This window comes from Homo sapiens, chromosome 19 (assembly GCF_000001405.40).
Source record: "Homo sapiens chromosome 19, GRCh38.p14 Primary Assembly".
Lineage (NCBI taxonomy): Eukaryota > Metazoa > Chordata > Mammalia > Primates > Hominidae > Homo > Homo sapiens.
This window is the reverse complement of record NC_000019.10, coordinates 16,161,197-16,181,532: the sequence shown is the minus strand read 5'-3', so window position 1 is coordinate 16,181,532 and position 20,336 is coordinate 16,161,197. Positions and strand designations below refer to the sequence as shown.

General features: G+C 48.2%; 1 protein-coding gene across 2 annotated transcripts, besides 2 other annotated features; it reads left to right on the top strand.

The window, feature by feature from the left end:
- Positions 2,566–2,635: an enhancer, noted in NCBI's record as "active region_14216". NCBI's record gives its function as "activates an Ori minimal core promoter by ATAC-STARR-seq in GM12878 lymphoblastoid cells {active_cell/tissue: GM12878}" and the evidence as "EXISTENCE:reporter gene assay evidence [ECO:0000049][PMID:35858748]".
- Positions 8,008–20,165, top strand: CIB3 (calcium and integrin binding family member 3). 2 transcript variants are annotated; one of them, NM_054113.4, is made up of 6 exons: positions 8,008–8,108; positions 8,337–8,371; positions 11,792–11,903; positions 13,249–13,396; positions 16,620–16,815; positions 20,047–20,165. In NM_054113.4, exons 1-6 carry the CDS (start codon positions 8,058–8,060, stop codon positions 20,066–20,068), a joined length of 564 nt encoding a protein of 187 aa, NP_473454.1. In that variant the 5' UTR covers positions 8,008–8,057; the 3' UTR covers positions 20,069–20,165. The 2 variants fall into 2 exon arrangements, with proteins under 2 accessions (NP_473454.1, NP_001287851.1); NM_001300922.2 differs by lacking the exons at positions 8,337–8,371; positions 11,792–11,903.
- Positions 12,421–12,715: a silencer, noted in NCBI's record as "tiled region #5225; HepG2 Repressive non-DNase unmatched - State 23:Low, and K562 Repressive DNase matched - State 9:DNaseU". NCBI's record gives its function as "represses a minimal TATA promoter and a strong SV40 promoter by Sharpr-MPRA in HepG2 and K562 cells {active_cell/tissue: HepG2 | K562}" and the evidence as "EXISTENCE:reporter gene assay evidence [ECO:0000049][PMID:27701403]".
- Positions 20,166–20,336: the final 171 nt, after the last annotated feature.

The window sequence follows — 20,336 nt, the reverse complement described above, 5'->3', positions numbered from 1 at the left end:
GCGATCTCGCTTACTACAACCTCTGCCTCCCAGGTTCAAGCGATTCTCCTGCCTCAGCCTCCCGAGTAGCTGGGACTACAGGCACATACCACCACGTATGGCTAATTTTTTGTATTTTTAGTAGAAATGGGGTTTCTCCATGTTGGCCAGGCTGGTCTCGAACTCCTGACCTCAAGTGATCTGCCTGCCTTTGCCTCCCAAAGTTCAGGGATTACAGGTGTGAGCCACTGCGCCCAGCCCATCCTTGCAATTTTAATGTAAATTTAAAATTATTTCAAAACTAAAAGTTTATTAGGAAAAGAAAGAGGCTGGGCATGGTGGCTCATGCCTGTAATCCCAGCACCTTGGGATGCTGAGGCGGGTGGTTCCCCTGAGGTCAGGAGTTCAAGAACAGCTTGGCCAACATGGCGAAACTCTGTGTCTACTGAAAATACAAAAATTAGCCAGGCGTGGTGGCAGGCGCCTGTAATCCCAGCTACTCGGGAGGCTGAGGCAGGAGAATCACCTGAACTTGGGAGGCGGAAGTTGCAGTGAGCCGAGGTCACACTACTGTACTCTAGCCTGAGTGACAGAGCAAGACTGCAAGACTCCATCTCCAAAAAAAAAAAAAGGGAAAAGAAAGAATCTGTAAAGGAATTAAGTGAGGGTGGGGCTTGACTTTCTAGCCAGCTTTGCAATAATGTCAGGCTTGCTGAGTGAGCTCCCACTTCAGGAATGTAGCTAAGCGCATGGGATTCCACACCCCCATTCCTCACATCCTAGGGGATTTTCTTCCTAGCCTCTGCCTCCATTCTGTGAGTTTTGAAGCGGATGCTTTTAATGGGTGTGCATGTATAGGCAATGAGAATGCTCCAACAGTACTTTCGAGATGCATCTTGATTTTGGAGGTATTAAAATGTGAAACAAAATGTGTTTAAATGGAGGGGAAGTAATTTTTTTAATTAAACTTTTAATTTGAAATAATTGAAGGCTCACATGCAGTTTTAAGAAATAAACAGAGGCGAGGCATGGTGGTTCACGTCTGTAATCCCAGCACTTTGGGAGTCTGAAGCGGGCAGATCCCTTGAGCCAAGGAGTTCAACACCAGCCTGGGCAACATGGTGAAACCCTGTCTCCTCCCAAAATACAAAAGTTAGCTGGGTTTGGTGGCAGGTGCTTGTAGTCCTAGCTACTCAAGAGGCTGAGGCAGGAGGATTGCTTCAGCCAGGGAGTTTGGGGCTGCAGTGAGCTATGATGGCACCACTGCACTCGAGCCTAGGCGACAGAGTGAGACCCTGTCTTTAAAAAAAAAAATTCCTCTTGTTGCTCTTTTGTAGCCATACACACTTATCCCCTCACCTCCATTCCTGCACAGCTGGCAAACAGGGATCTGTTCTCTATTTCTCTGATGTTGTCATTCATTTTAAGAATGTGATATAGCCAGGCACGGTGGCTCACGCCTGTAATCCCAGAACTTTGGGAGGCCGAGGTGGGTGGAACACGAGGTTAGGAGATCGAGACCATCTTGGCTAACACGCTGAAACCCCGTCTCTACTAAGAAAAATACAAAAAAATTAGCCGGGCGTGGTGGCGGGCACCTGTAGTCCCAGCTACTCGGGAGGCTGAGGAAAGAGAATGGCGTGAACCTGGAAGGCGGAGCTTGCAGTGAGCGGAGATCACGCCACTGCACTCCAGCCTGGGCGACAGAGCGAGACTCCGTCTCAAAAAAAAAAAAAGAATGTGATATAAATGGAATCATACAATATGTAACCTGCTAGGATTGGTTTGTTTTCCACTCAGCATAATGCCCTAGAAGTTCATCCAAGTCGTAATATTTACCTTTTCTATTCTCCAGTAATTTTCTATGGTATGGACGTATCCATTTGCTTAAACATTCACATGTGGGTTGTTTCCAGTTTGGGGTTATTAAGATAAAACATCTGTTACAGATTTTTATGTGAACATAAGTTTCCATTCCTTTGAAATTGCCCAAAAGTGTAATTACGGTAGCTGCATATTTAAACTACATTAACAAAAAATTGTGATAAAGGCTGGGTGTGGTGGCTCATGCCTGTAATCCCAACACTTTGGGAAGCGGAACAAAAAAATAATGGTAAAGTCTGGGCGAGGTGGCTCACACCTGTAATCCCAGCACTTTGGGAAGCCGAGGCGGGTGGATCACCTGAGGTCAGGAGTTCAAGACCAGCCTGATCAACATGGTGAAACCCCGTCTCTACTAAAAATATAAAAATTAGCCGAGTGTGGTGGCGGGCGCCTGTAATCTCAGCTACTCAGGAGGCTGAGGCGGGAGAATCACTTGAACCCGGTAGGTGGAGGTTGCAATGAGCTGAGATCACGCTATTGCACTCCAGCCTGGGCGACAAGAGCGAAACTTCATCTCAAAAAACAAACAAAAAACCCCCTAAGACATTGTGGTAAGAACACAATGTGTGATTTGCCTTCTTCTTCTTCCTCTTCTGTTTTTAGAGACAGGGTCTGTTGCCCAGGTTGGAGTACAGTGGCACAATCATGACTCACTGCAGCCTCAACCTCCTGGGCTCAAGCAATACTCCCACCTCAGCCTCCCAATAGCTGGTACCATAGAGCATGCCACCACATCTGTCTAGATTTTGTATTTTTTGTAAAGACAAAGTTTCATCATGTTTCCCAGGCTGGTCTTGAACTCCTGAGATCAAGTGATCCACCCGCCTTGGCTTCCCAAAGTGCTAGGAATACAGGTGTGAGCTGCTGTGCCCGGCTGATAGTTTTAATTTTTTTTGAACCTTCATACTGTTTTCCATAGCAGCTACACCATTTTGCATTCCCACCAACTATGTAAGTGTTCCAATTTCTCCACACCCCTGACAACACTTGTTGTCTTTTGTTGTTGTTGTTGTTGTTTTGGTTTGGTTTGGTTTTTTTGAGACGGAGTCTCACTCTGTCACCCAGGCTGGAGTGCCGTGGCGCGATCTCAGCTCACCATAACCTCCGCCTCCTGGGTTCAAGTGATTCTCCTGCTTCAGCCTCCAGAGTAGCTAGGATTACAGGCATGTGCCACTACGCCTGGCTCGTTTATATATTTTTAGTAGAGACAGGGTTTCTCCGTGTTGGCCAGGTTGGTCTCGAACTCCTGACCTCAGGTGATCCACCCACCTTGGCCTCCCAAAATGCTGGGATTACAGGTGTGAGCCACCTCGCCTGGCCAAAATTAATTTTTCTATGTCAGGCTGGGTGTAAATTTTCTATGCCAGGCTGACTCACACCTGGCCTGGTGTGCAATCCAAACACTTTGGGAGGCTGAGGCAAGAGGATCACTTGAGCCCAAAAGTTTGAGAACAGCTTGAGCAACATATTGAGACCTCATCTCTACAAAAAATACAAAAAATGCAGATCACGAGGTCAGGAGATCGAGACCATCCTGGCTAACACGGTGAAACCCCATCTCTGCTAAAAATATAAAAAATTAGCCGGGTGTGGTGGTGGGCGCCTGTAGTCCTAGCTACTCGGGAGGCTGAGGCAGGAGAATGGTGGGAACCTGGGAGGCGGAGCTTGCAGTGAGCAGAGATTGCGCCACTGCACTCCAGCCTGGGCGACAGAGCGAGACTCTGTCTCAAGAAATAAATAAATAAATAAATAAATAAATTAATTAATTAATTAATTAAAATATAAAAGTAAATAAAAAACTGAAAATAGTAACTGCTGGAGAAGATGTGAAATAACTAGAACCTACAAACACTGATGGTGAGAAAGCAAACTAGTGCAGCCTCTTTAGGAAGAAGTTTGGCAAGTTTCTTATATACTGAATATGAGCCATTAATCCTACCCCTCGATATTTACCCAAGTGGAATAAAAAAAAAATACAAAAAATTAGCGAGTGCGGTGGCACCTGCCTGTGGTCCCAGCTACTTAGGAGGGTGAGGTGGGAGGATCAGTTGAGCTCAGAAGGTAGAGACGAGTCTGAACGACATGGTGAGATCCCATCTCTACAAAAATTTAAAAAATTAGCCAGGTGTGGTGGTGTGCACATTTCATGTAAATAGAATCACACTATATGGGACTGTTCATCTCTAGCTTCTTTCACTCAACATAATGTTTTTGTTTTCTTCTTTTCTCTTTTTTGCAAAAGTTACCTTGATCAGCATAATGTTTTTATTTGGGTTGTCTTTCTAGTTTTGAGATGTAAGAGTTCTTAGTTTTTATCGTGGGTTTTGTTTTTTGGTTTTTTTCGAGATAGAGTCTCGCTCTTGTTGCCCAGGCTGGAGTGCAGTGGCACGATCTCAGCTCACTGCAACCTCCCCCTCCCAGGTTCAAGCGATTTTCCTGTCTCAGCCTCCCGAGTAGCTGGGATTACAGGCGCCCACCACCACACCTGGCTAATTTTTTGTATTTTTAGTAGAGACAGGGTTTCACTATGTTGGCCAGGCTGGTCTCTAACTCCTGACCTCAGGTGATCCACCCACCTCATTCTCCCAAAGTGCTGGGATTACAGGCGTGCGCCCGGCCCTGAGAGTTCTTTATATATTCTGAATAGTAGTTCCTTATGAGATATATGATTCACAAATACAGTTAGCCCTTCATATCCAGTTTCCTTATCCATGGATTCAATAAACCACGGAGTGAAAATACCTGGAACCAATAAAATAAAAATAATACAACAATAAAAAGAATACAAATAAAAATGTGTAACAATTATTTATGTAGCATTTATATTTCATTAGATATTATACATAATTTAGAGATAATTTAAAGTCTATGGAGGGCCGGGCATGGTGGCCCATGTAATCCCAGCATTTTGAGAGGCCAAGGTGGGCCGGATCACTTGAGGTCAGGAGTTTGTGACCAGCCTGGCCAACATGGCAAAACCCCGTCTCTACTAAAAATATAAAAATTAGCTGGACACAGTGGTGTGCACCTGTAATCCCAGCTACTAGGGAGGCTGAGGCAGGAGAATTGCTTGAACCTAGGAGGCAGAGGTTGCAGTGGGCTGAGATTACGCCACTGCACTCCAGCCTGGGTGACAGAGCCAGACTCCAACTCGAAAAAGTAAAATAAAAATAAATAAATAAATAAATAAAGTGTATGGAAGATGTGCACAGGCTATATGCAAATATTATGCCATTTTATATAAATGACTTGAGCACTGAGCATTTGTCCCATTCTGTGGGCATGACAGGTTTTTGTGTGAACCTAGTTTAAATTTTTTTTTTACACTATACTTTATTTTTTTAGAGCAGTCTTAGTTTCACAGCAAAATTGATCAGAAGGTACAGAGATTTCCCGTACACCTGCTGCTTTCATACTTGTATAGCTTCCCCTACAATCAACATCCTCCACATGCAAGTGCATGACAGTAGCTAGTCTGTTACAATTGATGAACTGACACTGATACATCATTATCACCCACAGTGGTTAGTGGATAGTTTACATTAGGGGTCACTCTCAGTTGAACATAGGTTTTTATTTCCCTTGGGTAAACACCCAGGAGTCTTTTTTTTTTTTTTTTTTTGAGACAGGATCTCACTCTGTCTCCCAGGCTGGAGTGCAGTACAGTGGAGTGATCATAGCTCACTTCATCCTCGACCTCCCTACCTCAAGCAAACCTCCCAAGTAGCTGGATACCACCAAACCTGGCTAATTTTTGTATTTTTGTAGAGATGGGGCTTCACCATGTTGCCTAGGCTGGTCTCCAACTCCTGGGCTAAAGTGGTCCTCTTGCCTTGGCCTCCCAAAGTGCTGGGATTACAGGCATGAGCCACCATACCAGGCCCTGAATCTTGTGGTAAGGTTAAGTTTAATTCTATTTAAAAAAAACCCAGCCAACCTATTTTCCAGAGTGTCTATACCATTTTGCATCAACACCAGCAATGTATGAGCATTCCAGTTGCTCCATACCCTCACCAACACTTGATATTGTTTATTTTTTGAAAGTTATTCTTGGATGGCTGGGCATGGTGGTTCATGCCTGTAATCCCAGCACTTTGGGAGGCTAAGGTGGGTAGATCACTTGAGGCCAGGTGTTCAAGACCAGCCTGGGCAACATAGACAGACCCTGTCTCCACAAAAAATACAAAAAAAAAAAAATTAGCCGGATGTGGCAGCATGTGCCTCTAGTGCCAGCTACCTGGGAGGCTGAGGAAGGAGGGTCGCTGCAGTGAGCCATGATTGTATCACTGCTCTCCAGCCTGGGTGACAGAGTGAGACCCTGTCTCAAAAAAAAAAAAAAGTCATCCTTGAGGCATCTTTCAAGCCTGATCAGGGTCACATTTTACAAGATGACTGCACAGATTTGGCAGAGGATGCTTGATGAGGCCGAGGCAGGAAAGCCTGCTGGGAAACATTGCAATAGTCCAGGCCAGGTAGAGAAAACACAGGTGAGACCCAAAGTGAGAAGGGCATGGAGGGCCAGGCTAAGAAATTTAGACTCTCAGATTCTCCACCCAAGAGGATTCTGGGCCTTAATAAAGTTGGTAGCTGCTACATTAGATCTGCCCTTTGGGCCGGGCGAGGTGGCTCACACATGTAATTCCAGCACTTTGGGAGGCCGAGGCGGGTGGATCACCTGAGGTCAGGAGTTCGAGACCAGCCTGGCCAACATAGTGAAACTCTGTCTCTACTAAAAATACAAAACTTAGCCAGGCGTGGTGGTGGGCGCCTGTAATAATCCCAGCTACTCGGGAGGCTGAGGCAGGAGAATGGCCTGAACTCGGGAGGTGGAGCTTGCAGTGAGCCGAGATCACGCCACTGCACCCTAGACTGGGTGACAGAGCGAGACTCCGTCTCAAAAAAAAAAAATACAAAAAAAATTAGCTTGGCATGGTGGACACCTGTGGTCCCAGCTACCTGGGATGCTGAGGCAGGAGAATCACTTGAACCTGGGAGGCAGAGATTGCAGTGAACCGAGATCACACCACTGCACTCCAGCCTGGGCAACAGAGTGAGACTGTCTCAAAAAAATAAAATGTAATAAAATAATAATGTCAATGCACACCCCAGAACTTCATCTAGCTTGTTCACCATTATGTTCCCAATGCAGTGATGCAATCATGGCTCACTGCAGCCTCAAACTCCTGGGCTCAAGCAATCCTCCCACCTCAGCCTCCTGAGTAGCTGGGACCACAGGCATGCACCACCACATCCAGCTAATTTTTGTATTTTTAGTAGAGATAGGGCCTTGCCATGCTGCCCAAGCTGATCTTGAACTCCTGGCCTCAAGTGAATCTCATGCTTTGTCCTCCTAAAGTGCTGGGATTACAGGTATGAGCCACCTCGCCCAGCCAAAACCTTTTTTTTTTTTTTGGAGATGGAGTCTTACTCTGTCACCCAGTCTGGAGTGCAATGGCGGGATCTCGGCTCACTGCAACCTCCACCTCCTGGGTTCAAGCAATTCTCCTGCCTCAGTCTCTGGAGTAGCTGGGATTACAGGCATGTGTCACAATGCCAAGCTAATTTTTGTATTTTTAGTAGAGATGGGGTTTTGCCGTGTTGGCCAGGCTGGTCTTGAACTCCTGACCTCAGGTGATCCGCCTGCCTGGCCCTCCCAAAGTGCTGGGATTACAGGTGTGAGCCACCTTGCCCAGTCAAAACCTTTTTTTTTTTTTTTTAAATCTCAGATCCTGAGAATGACCCTATGAGGTAGGTATAATGTAATTTTCATCTCATGAATGAGGTTCAGAGAAGTCAGGTGACTTGCCCAGGGCCACACAGCTAGTGGGCAGAGAGCTGGGATTTGAGCTGCAGTGTGCCCATAGCCCTTCTGTATACCCTGCCTGTCTCTTGAGTGTGCCCCATAACCCCAGCCTCACCTTGTGGTGGCAGATGTGGCCTCCCCACTGAGGTCTTCTCTGTGACATCCCACAGCCCTTATCCTTACCCATGGACACATTCAGGCTGTTGTCCAGAGAGCCTGGCTGTAATTTGAGTCTCATCAAGCAGGGGGTGATGGCGTAGGTGGGTGGGTGACAGCCAGGGCAGGGAGATTTGCCCAGACACTGGTACACAACAGCCTGGCAACCCGTGTGGCCCCGAGGAAGCTGGGAGCCTTTGGGGTGCATCCCCAAGTCTGGGCTGTGGTTCACACCATGGGCAACAAGCAGACAGTCTTCACACACGAGCAGCTGGAAGCGTATCAGGTAGAGGGGGGCAGGATGGGTCCTCAGTGGGTTTGACAACTTTGGTTCCGTGGTCTGGGAAATGGGAACAGAATGCCTTCATCTGGGTGTACCGTCCGCCTGGGTTCCTGGTTCTGCTCTGTGTGTGGCAGCATCAGGCCATCTGTGTGAGTGTGGGGTGGAGGGAGGAGGCCGTGGGAGGAGGCCCCAGAGGCAGGGTTCGGGTTAAGACAACACCTCTCTCCACAGGACTGCACATTTTTCACAAGGAAGGAGATCATGAGGTCAGTCCAGGGAGGAAGGGAGAGAAGATCTGGAAAAACAACTTTCTATTCATTGCTGGAGGATATTTGCAATTTGGTGTGTGTGTGTGTGTGTGTGTGTGTGTGTGTGTGTGTGTGTGTAAGTAGTCTTTCTTTCTTTCTTTCTCTTTTCTCTCTCTCTCTCCCTCCCTCCCTCCCTTCCTTCCTTCCTTCCTTCTTTTCTTTTTTTTTGAGACAGGGTCTGTCTCTATTGCCTGGGCTGGAGTGCAGTGGTGCAATCATGGCTCATTGCAGGCTCGATCTCCCAAGGTCAGGTGATCCTCCCACCTCAGCCTCTCGAGTAGCTAGGACCACTGGTGCGAGCCACCACATGTACCTCATTTTTGTATTTTTTTATAGAGATGGGGCTCTCACTATGTTGCCCAGGCTGGTCTTAAACCCTTGGGCTCAAGCGATCCCCCTGCCTCAGCCTCCCAAAGTGCTGGGATTACAGGTGTGAGCCACCATGCCCAACTGGTATTTCCAATTTGTTGGGACTCAAATGGGGAAGGGGGGCAGGTGTGGTCAGTGGACAGAGGCAGAGATGGAGAAGCTGACAAGTCACATCTTGTCATACTGTCCCAGTCTCTAGGCTGATGAGCTTGGGCTTTCTCCCAAGGGTGGCAGGGAGCTATGGAGCATGCATGAGCAGGGGAGAGACCATCAGCACGTTAGAAAGATTCTCCTGAGGCTGGGCGCGGTGGCTCATGCCTGTAATCCCAGCACTTTGGGAGGACAAGGTGGGTGGATCACCTGAGGTCAGGAGTTTAAGATCAGCCTGGCCAACATGGTGAAACCCCATCTCTGCTAATAATACAAAAATCAGCTGGGCGAGGTGGTGGGTGCCTGTAATCCCAGCTACTCAAGAGGCTGAGGCAGGAGAATTGCTTGAACCTGGGAGGTGGAGGTTGCAGTGAGCCGAGATCACGCCACTGTGCTCCAGCCTGGGTGACAGAGCTAGACTCTGCCTCAGAAAAACAAAATGAAAGATAAAGATTCTCCTGAGACTGGGACTTGAGGCTGGGAGCCCAGGTGCAAAGTCCAGAGCCCAGTCTGGGTTGTGGGCTTGGCATTAAGATGAGGGTGTGAGGAGGTGGCCCAAGGCTGCTGCAGGTCCCTGGCGTGACCCAGCACGATGGGCACAGATGAGTATCCCACATCATCACTCGGCCTGTGGGGCCATTGCCCAGGGGCCCCGACCCATGAACTTGGAGCTATGAAACCCAAGCTGGCCAGGGTTCAGCTGCAGTGTGATCGGGGCCAAGGCCCCAGTTGTGTAGTAACAGGACATCCATTATTGATGGCCACACCTTTTACTAGTGAGCCCCATTGTTTGGGTGAGGACAGCTTGCAGGGTCACCTCGGCCATCACGATCAAATTACTGATGGGGAAACTGAGGCTCAGACAGGGCGGGGCTGATCCCAGGCTGAAGGGTAAATGCACAGAGCCCCAAGGCCCCAAGGACAGACATTTTGTCTGTCCCAAGCTTCTTGCTTATCAGATAGAATAACCAAGGCACAGAGAGGGAGAGGAGAGGAACATGCTCAGAGCCACACAGAAACCTAAACCCAGGGTATTCCCTGATGGGACCCCGACAGGGAACTGAGTGGTCAGGATGAAAGTTCTAGGTCTCCCCACCCCACCTTCATTGAGTTCCTAGTCATCATATGACCTAGGGACTCATGTCTCTCTCAGAGACAGTCCCTAGCAGCTTGGGGACCTCAGACCCACCAAGGATGGTCTCTGCAAGGCTGCTGCTCAGCATGCCCTAATGAAGGTATGGTGTCACAGGTGAGGGCTTCTGAGTGGAGAACTGGCCTTATAATCTGGATAGTGTGTGTGGTATTCAGTTATTTGCAAAATATCTTTTGTCTGCCCTTTAGAAAAAATGTGACTATTAGCTGTTTGTCTCTGCTCTGCCCCATTGAGGAATCCCTCCTTTTTTTTCTTTCTTTCTTCTTTTCTTTCTTTCTTTTTTATTTTTTATTTATTTATTTTTTTTATTGAGACCGAGTCTCATTCTGTTGCCCAGGCTGGAGTGCACTGGCTTGATCTCGGTTCACTGCATGCTGCGCCTCCCGGGTTCACACCATTGTCCTGCCTCAGCCTCCGGAGTAGCTGGGACTACAGGCGCCCACCACCACGCCTGGCTAAATTTTTATATTTTTAGTGGAGACGGGGTTTCACCATGTTAGCCAGGATGGTCTTGATCTCCTGTCCTCGTGATCCACCTGCCTCGGCCTCTCAAAGTGCTGGAATTACAGGCGTGAGCCACCGCGCCCGGCCTCTTTCTTTCTTTTTTCTTTTCTTTTTTTTTTTTGAGACAGAGTCTCGTTCTTGTTGCCCAGGCTGGAGTGCAGTGACACGATCTCAGCTCACTGCAACCTCCAGCTCCCAGGTTCAAGTGATTCTCCTGCCTCGGCCTCCCGAGTAGTTGGGATTACAGGTGCCCGTCACCACGCCCAGCTAATTTTTTGTATTTTCAGTAGAGATGGGGTTTCACCATGTTGGCCAGGCTAGTCTCGAACTCCTGACCTCTGGTGATCCACCCGCCTCGGCCTCCCAAAGTACTGGGATTACAGGCATGAGCCGCTGCATCCGGCCTCTTCCTCCCATTATAAGGAGAGGAAGGGAAGGTATGAAAGTGAAGGTATCTTTGGAGGCAGGGTCTTGCTGATAACATGACAATATCCAGAGATGTGTGGATTATATAGGATTCTCTGAATGCTTGCTGTGATCTGGCCATAAGCACCCTCCCTTCTCCCAACTCCATCTGCTTTAGAAGCTCCTACTCATGCTTCAAAGCCCAGAACCAATGTCCCCTCTTCCAGGAACCCCCTTCTCCTCGCTAGCTTGCTTCCCCCAGTCCAGTCTCCCTTTGTCCTGTGGCCCTCTCTGCACCTTGACCCTGCCCCCAGGGAGGTTAGGGGTGCCTGTGTCAGGCTCTGTATGCTTGAGGTCCAGGCCCAGGGCTGAGTGTTCTTGGGGACCCAGTATACCTCAGTGTGCAGTGAGCAGCTGTGAATGTGAAAGAGAAGGGACTTGGCCAGGTGCGGTGGCTCACGCCTGTAATCCCAACACTTTGGGAGGCTAAGTCAGGTGGATCATCTGAGGTCAGGAGTTTGAGACCAGCCTGACCAACATGAAACCCCGTCGCTACTAAAAATACAAAAGAATTAGCCGGGCGTGGCAGGGTGTGCCTGTAATCCCAGCTACTTGGGAGGCTGAGGCAGGAGAATTGCTTGAACCCGGGAGGCAGAGGTTACAGTGAGCCGAGATTGTGCCACTGCACTCCAGCCTGGGTGACAGACCGAGACTCTGTCTCAAAAAACAAAGAAGGGACAAGCGTCTTGCCTGCTCCCTGCTCCCAGTCTTTCCCAGCTTTTTCCTCCCCACATCAGGCTCTTCTATCGCTACCAGGACCTGGCCCCACAGCTCGTGCCCCTCGACTATACCACCTGCCCCGATGTGAAGGTGCCCTACGAGCTCATTGGCAGCATGCCCGAGCTGAAGGTATGCCCAGGCCATGGGACAAACAGGGTAAAAAATAGTAGAGATGTCTCTCGTTGCATTCCTCTGAGGTCAGTGCTGCAGTTATCCCCATTTTAAAGATAAGAAAACTGAGACTCAGAGAGGTTAAGACACTTGTTCATGGTCACACAGCTACAATGTGACAGAGACAGGGTTAAAACCCAGAGTTGGCTGGTGTGGTGGCTCAAGCCTGTAATCCCAGCACTTTGGGAGGCCGAGGCGGGTGGATCACCTGAGGTCAGGAGTTCGAGACCAGCCTGGCCAACATGGTGAAACCCCGTCTCTACTAAAAATACAAAAATTAGCTGGGCGTGGTAGTGCACACCTGTAATCCCAGCTACTAGGGAGACTGAGGCAGGAGAATTGCTTGAACTCAGGAGGTGGAGGTTGCAGTGAGCAGAGATCTAGCCACAGTACTCCAGCCTGGGCGACAGAGTGAGACTCTGTCTCAAAAAACAAACAAACAAACAAACAACAAACAAAAAACACCCAGAATTGGGAGGATGAAACGAGATAATACAGGCAACAAATTCAGTACAGGGTGTGTTGTGTGTCAAGTACTCAGAGAACGTTAGTTCTTCTTGTAACAGGAGCTGCTAAATGCAGGTTTTTATCAGCAGGATGTTTGACACATGGTTTGTGCCTCCAAGGGGAACTTGTGGGTTGAGTAACTGACTGTGAGTAGGGTTGATTTTATTGCAAGTGACAAAAACCTTATTTGAGAGGGACAGAATGGTTTGGATCAAAATGGATTGCCCCTGAACAACAACAAAAAAATCCAGAGGCAGGGACAGTGTCAGGTACAGCTGGAACCAGGGCCTCTGATGATGTGCTCAGGAATCTCCCCCCATATCTCGGCTCCTCCCAGGAAGAGGTTTCAGTCTAAGGCAGCCTCACCTCTTGAGGCTGTGAAGGGACCTCTCAGCCACTCAGCTTTAGCTTCTGTGAGCTTTGCAAGCAGCAGTAATCAGGTCCCCTCCCTCCCAATTTTTCAGAAAAATATCCCAGGTCAGCCTCTGATTGGCTAGCTTGAGTCACATGCCCATCACAGAGCCAATCACTATTGCCAGGTGAATGGAACTCTCTGATTGGCCTTGCCTGGGTCACATGGCTGCTCCAAGAGCTGGAAGTTGGGGCAAGGTTGCTCAGATCACAGGGGTGGAGGGTGGAGTTGTCCAAAGTCCTGTCCAGGGACCATGGGAGGGAGTGGGTCTTGATGGAGGGTACTTGGAGGTTCCCAGAAGGTGGGTGCTGATAGTGAGACCACATGGACCCCAGAGACCTTGGGGGTCAGAGGATGGCCTCCCAGCTTCCTTTCTGTCCCCAGGACAACCCCTTCCGCCAGAGGATTGCCCAGGTATTCTCTGAGGATGGGGATGGCCACATGACCCTGGACAACTTTTTGGACATGTTTTCCGTGATGAGTGAAATGGCTCCCCGCGACCTCAAGGCTTACTATGCTTTTAAAATTTATGGTGCGTGCGTGGCCCTGGGGTTGGGAAGCATGGGGATGGGGTGGGGAGTGGGAACTGGGTGGGTGGCACCCACATCACAAATATCTCCCCAGGGGTTTTGAGGCCCTATGTGGCCCTGTCCTCCACCCCACTCCAATGCCTCCCCACCTCATTTATTTGCTAACTCTATTCCAGCCACATGGGCCTTGCTGTTCCTCAAACACAGTCTTCGGCCTCTGGGCCTTTGCCTCTGCTGAACCCTCTGCCTAGAACACCTTTCGCCTTGCTCCTTATTTATTTATTGATTTTTATTTTTTATTTTTTTGAGATGGAGTTTCGCTCTTTTTGCCCAGGCTAGAGTGCAGTGGCTCAATCTTGGCTTACTGCAGTCTCCGCCTCCCAGGTTCAAGTGATTCTTCTGCCTCAGCCTTCCGAGTAGCTGGGATTACAGGCAGGTGCCATCACGCCTGGCTAATTTTTGTATTTTTAGTAGAAACGGGGTTTCACCATGTTGGCCAGGCTTGTCTCGAACTCTTGACCTCGGGTGATCCGCCCGCCTCGGCCTCCCAAAGTGCTGGGATTACAGACGTGAGCCACCGCACCCAGCTCCCCTGGCTCCTTCTTACCCTTGAAGTCTAGGTCAAAAGTAGGCCTCTCCCCATTCATCCCCCCATCCCACCATCCTATTTCTCTTCTAGCACCAGGCAATGCTGCTTAATTTCTTGTTCCTTGACCTGTTCACTTCTTATTGACTTTGTCCCTGAGAAGACTCAAAGGTACCAACAGTATCTATTTTGCTCACCACCTGTCATCTGAGCCTGGCTCAGTAAATATTTGTTGAATGACTGAATGAAAGAAAAACAGTTATCTTAGTGCCTGGCACCTTGTGTGCACTCAATAAATACTTGTTTTTTTTGTGTGTGTGTTTTTTTTTTGTGAGACAAAGTCTTGCTCTGTCCCCCAGACTGGAGTGCAGTGACGCGATCTCAGCTCACTGCAACCTCCGTCTTCCGGGTTCAAGCAGTTCTCCTGCCTCAGCCTGCTGAGTAGCTGAGATTGATTACAGGTGCCTGCCACAACGCCTGACTAATTTTTTGTATTTTTAGTAGAGACGGAGTTTCACCATGTTGGCCAGACTGGTCTCGAACTCCTGACCTCAGGTGATCCACCCGCCTCAGCCTCCCAAAGTGCTGGGATTACAGGCATGAACCACCACGCCCAGCCAAATTTTTGTATTTTTAGTAAAGATGGGGTTTCACCATGTTGGCCAGGCTGGTCTTGAACTCCTAACCTCAAGTGATCCACCCACCTCGGCTTCCCAAAGTGGCAGGATTACAGGCATGAGCCACCGTGCCCTGCCACCATAATACTTTTTGAGTGAGTACATGAAAAATAGTTATCATGGTGCCCAACACATAGTAGGTGCTCAATAAATACTTGTTGCATGAATGAATGAATGAAAAAGTTATCAGAGTACCTGGCACACAGTAGACACTAATACTTGTTGAGTGAGTGAATAAAAGAGTTATGGTGCCCAACATGTAGTAGGTGCTCAATAAATACTTCCTGAATGGATGAATGAATGAATGAATAAATGAAAAAGTTATTACAGTGCCTGGTGCACAGTAAGCAGTTAAAAAGTACTTTTTGAGTGAATAGATGAAAAAAGTTATCACAGTGCCCACTACACAGTAGGCACTCAATAAATACTTGTTGAGTGAGTGAATAAATGAAAAACAGATATCATGGTGCTTGATACGTAGTACGTGTTCAAGAAATACTTGAATAAATGAATGAAAGAGCTGTCACAGTGTTTGGCACATAGTAGGCACTCAATAACTATTTTTATTTATTTATTTTTTTACTGAGACAGCGTCTCACTCTTGTCGCCCAGGCTGGAGTGCAATGGCGCGATCTCAGATCACTGCAACTTCCACTCCCTGGGTTCAAGCGATTCTCCTGCCTCAGCCTACCTAGTAGCTGGGATTACAGGCACCCGCACCACGCCCCGCTAATTTTTGTAATTTTAGTAGAGATGGGGTTTCACCATGTTGGCCAGGCTGGCCTGGAACTCCTGACCTTAGGTGATCTACCCATCTCCACCTCCCAAAGTGCTGGGATTACAGGCATGAGCCACTGCGCCGGGCCCATAACTGTTTTTTGAATGAGTAAATGAAAAATTATTATCACAGTGCCAGGACACAGTAGGCACTCAATAAATACTTGTTAAGTGAGTGAATGAATGAAAATTGCACTCAATAAATACTTGTTGAGTGAGTGAGTGAATGAAAATCAGTTACTGTGATGCCTGACACATAGTAGATGCTCAATAAATACTTGTATGAGTGAATAAAAAAGTTATTACAGTGCCTAGCACACAGCAGGCACTCAATGCTTGTAAAAATGAATGAATGAGGTTGGGTGTGGTGGCTTCCACCTGTAATCCTAGCACTTTGGGAGACCGAGGTGGGTGGATCACCTGAGGTCAGGAATTTGAGACCAGCCTGGCCAACATGGGGAATCCCATCTCTACTAAAAACACAAAAATTAGCCGGGCATGGTGGCAGGCACCTGTAATCCCAGCTACTTGGGAGGCTGAGGCAGGAGAATCACTTGAACCCAGGAGGTGGAGGTTGCAGTGAGCCGAGATCGTGCCACTGCACTCCAGCCTGGGCGACAGAGCGAGACTCCGTCTCAAAGAAAAAAAAAAAGAACGAATGAAAAATTCATTGCATAAATACTTGTTGAATGAATGAATGAACTCCCAGCAGGTCCCTGCCCAATTTTAAGGCAAGTTCCAGATTTTACACCAGGGTCTCGGGTGCCCTCCCAGGGCCTCAGTTCCTTTTTTTTTTTTTTTTTTTTGGACGGAGTTTCTGTCTTGCTGCCCAGGCTGGAGTGCAGTGGTGAGATCTTGGCTCACTGCAACCTCCACCTCCCGGGCTCAAGTGATTCTCCTGCCTCAGCCTCCTGAATAGCTGGGATTACAGGTGCATGCCACCACACCTGGGTATTTTTGTATTTTTAGTAGAGATGGGATTTCACCATGTTGGCCAGGCTGGTCTCGAACTCCTGACCTCAGGTGTTCCACCCTCCTCAGCCTCCCAAAGTGTTGGGATTACAGGCGTGAGCCACCGTGCCCGACCTTAGTTTCCCCTTCTTGTAACATGGGCACAGTATGTGCCCACAGCCGGCCTAGCCCTCCTGCCACCTGCTGTCACTCCCCATCCATCCTGCTCTGCAGATTTTAACAACGACGACTACATTTGTGCGTGGGACCTGGAGCAGACGGTGACCAAACTGACGCGGGGGGGGCTGAGTGCCGAGGAGGTGAGCCTGGTATGTGAGAAGGTGCTGGATGAGGCTGATGGAGACCATGATGGGCGGCTGTCCCTGGAAGATTTCCAGAACATGATCCTCCGGGCACCAGACTTCCTCAGGTGATGCTCTCCGTCACCGCCCACAGTCCATTTGCACATCTGAAGGGGCTCTTACGCAGACAGTTCACAGACTCTGTTTCTGAAAATTCCTCTATTCATTCTTTCATGACCTTGGGAAACTTTCTCAATTTCCCTAGTCTCAGTCCCTGCATCTGTAAAATGGGGATAATTAGGGACCCCCTGGGCACCTCTTGCGAGTGGATACACCTCTTTCAGCAAGCAGAATGTGGCTGGACTTCAGCCCTTGTTGCCTGAACAGTTTGCAGTGAACAGACTGTGTAACTGTACTTGGCAGCCTTTGGGGAAAATCAGCCGCCACTGCAGGGCAAAGTACGGCCAATAGGCCAGTCTGACCCAAAGCCTGGTTTTGTACCTCCTGTGAGCTAAGAATGGCTTTTATATTTTCAAAAGATCAAAAAACAATCAAAGAATAATAATATTCCAACCAGGTGGGGTGGTTCATGCCTTTAATCCCAGCACTTTGGGAGGCTAAGTGGGGAGGATCTCTTGACCCCAGGAGCTTGAGACCAAACTGGGGAACATAAGGAGAGTCCATATCTACAAATAAATAAATAAATAAATAGCCAGGTATGGTGGTGCATGCCTGTAGTCCCAGCTACTTGGGAGGCTGAGGCGGGAGGATTGCTTGAGCCCAGGAGGTCAAGGCCGCAGTGAGCTCAGATTGTGCCATGCACTCCAGCCTGGGTCACAGAGTGAGATTCTGTCTCAAAAATAAATAAACACATTAAAAATTTTTTTTTAATTTAAAAAAAGATTATTCCATGACACGTGACAGTGATACGAAATTCACTTTTCTGTGTCCATCAGTAAAGTTGTATTGGCTCACAGCCACACCCATTTGTGTACATTTTGTCTATGGCTGCTTGTGTGCTTCAACAACAGAGTTGCGTCATGGTATAAAGTTGAAAACATCAACTATTTGGCCATTTACAGAAAAAGGTTTGCTGAACCCCAAATTAATATATGGAGAAAATTCAGCACAGCTCCTGGCACACAATAGGTGTTTAATAAATTGCTGTTGCTATTATTATCTTATAATTTTTAAATTTCACTTTATTTTTTATTTTTTGAATTGACAAATAATGATTGTACATATTCATGGGGTACACAGTGATGTTTCTTTTTGTTTGTTTGTTTGTTTTGAGACGGAGTCTTGCTCTGTTGCCCAGGCTGGAGTGCAGTGGTGCAATCTCAGCTCACTGCAACTTCCACCTCCTGGGTTCAAGTGATTCTCCTGCCTCAGCCTCCCGAGTAGCTGGGATTACAGGCACGTGCCACCATGCCCAGCTAATTTTTGTATTTTTAGTAGAGACAGGGTTTTGTCATGTTGGCCAGGCTGGTCTTGAACTCCTGACCTCAAGTGATTCACCTACTGTGGCCTCCCAGACTGCTGGGAGTACAAGCGTGAGCCACCACGCCCAGCCCGTTTGTTTGTTTTGAGACAGGGTCTCACTCAGTGACCCAGACTGCAGTGCATGGTGCAATCGGCTCACTGCAGCCTCTAACTCCTCGGCTCAAGAGATCCTCCCACCTCAGCTTCCTAAGTAGCTGGGACTACGGGGCCGAGCGCAGTGGCTCACACCTGTAATCCCAGCATTTTAGGAGGCTGAGGCAGTAGTCTCTACTAAAAATACAAAAATTAGCCTGGGCATGGTGGGGCACACCTCTAGTCCCAGCTACTCGGGAGGCTGAGGCAGGAGAGTAACTTGAACCCGAACCTGGGAGGTGGAGGTTTGCAGTGAGCCACGATTGCGCCACTGTACTCCAGCTTGAGCGAGACTCTGTCTCAAAAAAAAAAAAAAAAAAAAAAGAAAAGAAAAGAAAAAAGAAATAAAATAAGAATAAACCAAGTAGCTGGGACTACAGGTACGTGCCACTGTGCCTGGCTAATTTTGTTTGTTTTATTTTATTAATTAATTAATTTATTTTATTTTATTTTTTTGAGATGGAGTCTCGCTCTGTCACCCAGGATGGAGTGCAGTGGCACGATCTCGGCTCACAGCAACCTCCACCTCGCAGGTTCAAGCACTTCTCCCTGCCTCAGCCTCCCGAGTATCTGGAATTACAGGCGCCCGCCACCACGCCCGGTTAATTTTTGTATTTTTTTAGTAGAGATAAGGTTTCGCCATGTTGGCCAGGCTGGTCTTGAACTCCTGACCTCAGGTGATCTGTCCATCTTGGCCTCCCAAAGTGCTGGGATTACAGGCGTGAGCCGTCATGCCCGGCCTGTTTTTGTTTTTATCTATAAGCTGAGGCAGTGCTGAAAATGTTGAGACAGGGTCTCACTTTGTTGCCCAGGCTGGAGTGCAGTGGCACAATCATAGCTCACTGCAGCCTCTACCTCCTGGGCTCAAGAGCAATCCTCCCACCTCAGCCTCCTGAGTAGCTGGGAGTACGGGCACACACCACCACGCCTAGCTAACTAAAAACTTTTTTTTTTTTTTTTTTTTTTTGTGGAGACAAGGTCTTGCCTTGTTGCCCAGGCTGTTCTCAAACTCCTGGCCTCAACTGATCCTCCTGCCTTGGCCTCCCAAAGTCCTGAGATTACAGGGGTGAGTCACTGCACCAGGCCACATAATGGTTTCGATACATATAATGTATGATGAGCAGATCAGGGTCATTAGCATATCCATCATCTCAAACATGTATCATTTATTTGTGTTGAGAACATTCAGTATCCTTCTTCTAGCTATTTGAAACTTTATATCATATGGCAGGATGTGGTGATTCATGCCTGTAATCCTAGCACTTTGGGAAGCTAAGGTGGGTGGATCGCTTGAGCACAGGAGTTCCAGACCAGCCTGGGCAACAAAGCAAGTTGAGAAACTCCGTTTCTACTGAAAATAGAAAAATTAACTGGGCGTGGTATCATGCACCTGTAATCCTAGCTACTCGGGAGGCTGAGGCATGAGAATCACTTGAACCCAGGAGGCAGAGGTTGCAGTGAGCCAAGATCACACCACTGCACTACAGCCTGGGAGACAGAGCAAGACCCCATCTCAAAAAAAAAAAAAAAAAAAAAAGAATTAAAAAATTAAAGGCATGTGCTCTCAGCCCCTGTAGGGGTCTCCCGGCCTAGGGTTGTTTGAGGGGTCCATGTGGCATCCTTCCTGCCTGTCCCAGGGACTTGCCGTGAGCGTGTTGAGGGGGAGGAGGAAAAGGGGTTGTCCACTCCTTGAAGGCCTTGACTCCTTTTCTCTCTGCACACAGCACCTTCCACATCCGAATCTGATGGCACCACAGAGGAGCCGAGCTATAGGAGGGCGGGGTGACCCCTCACCCGCTGTGGACTCTGGTTTCTGAGAATAAACACAAGTCACTGAGTCACACCTGCTGGGAGGACACATTTTTCCACCTTAAAACTGGAAGATGGGAGGGAGGCGGCGTAGAATTTTATCTTTGACTTTGCTGTGTGACCCTGAGTGTGGCCACACCCTCTCTGGGCCACGATCTCCCTGTTTGTACAAGGAAGGGGTGACTCCTAGATCGTCTTCACTGTG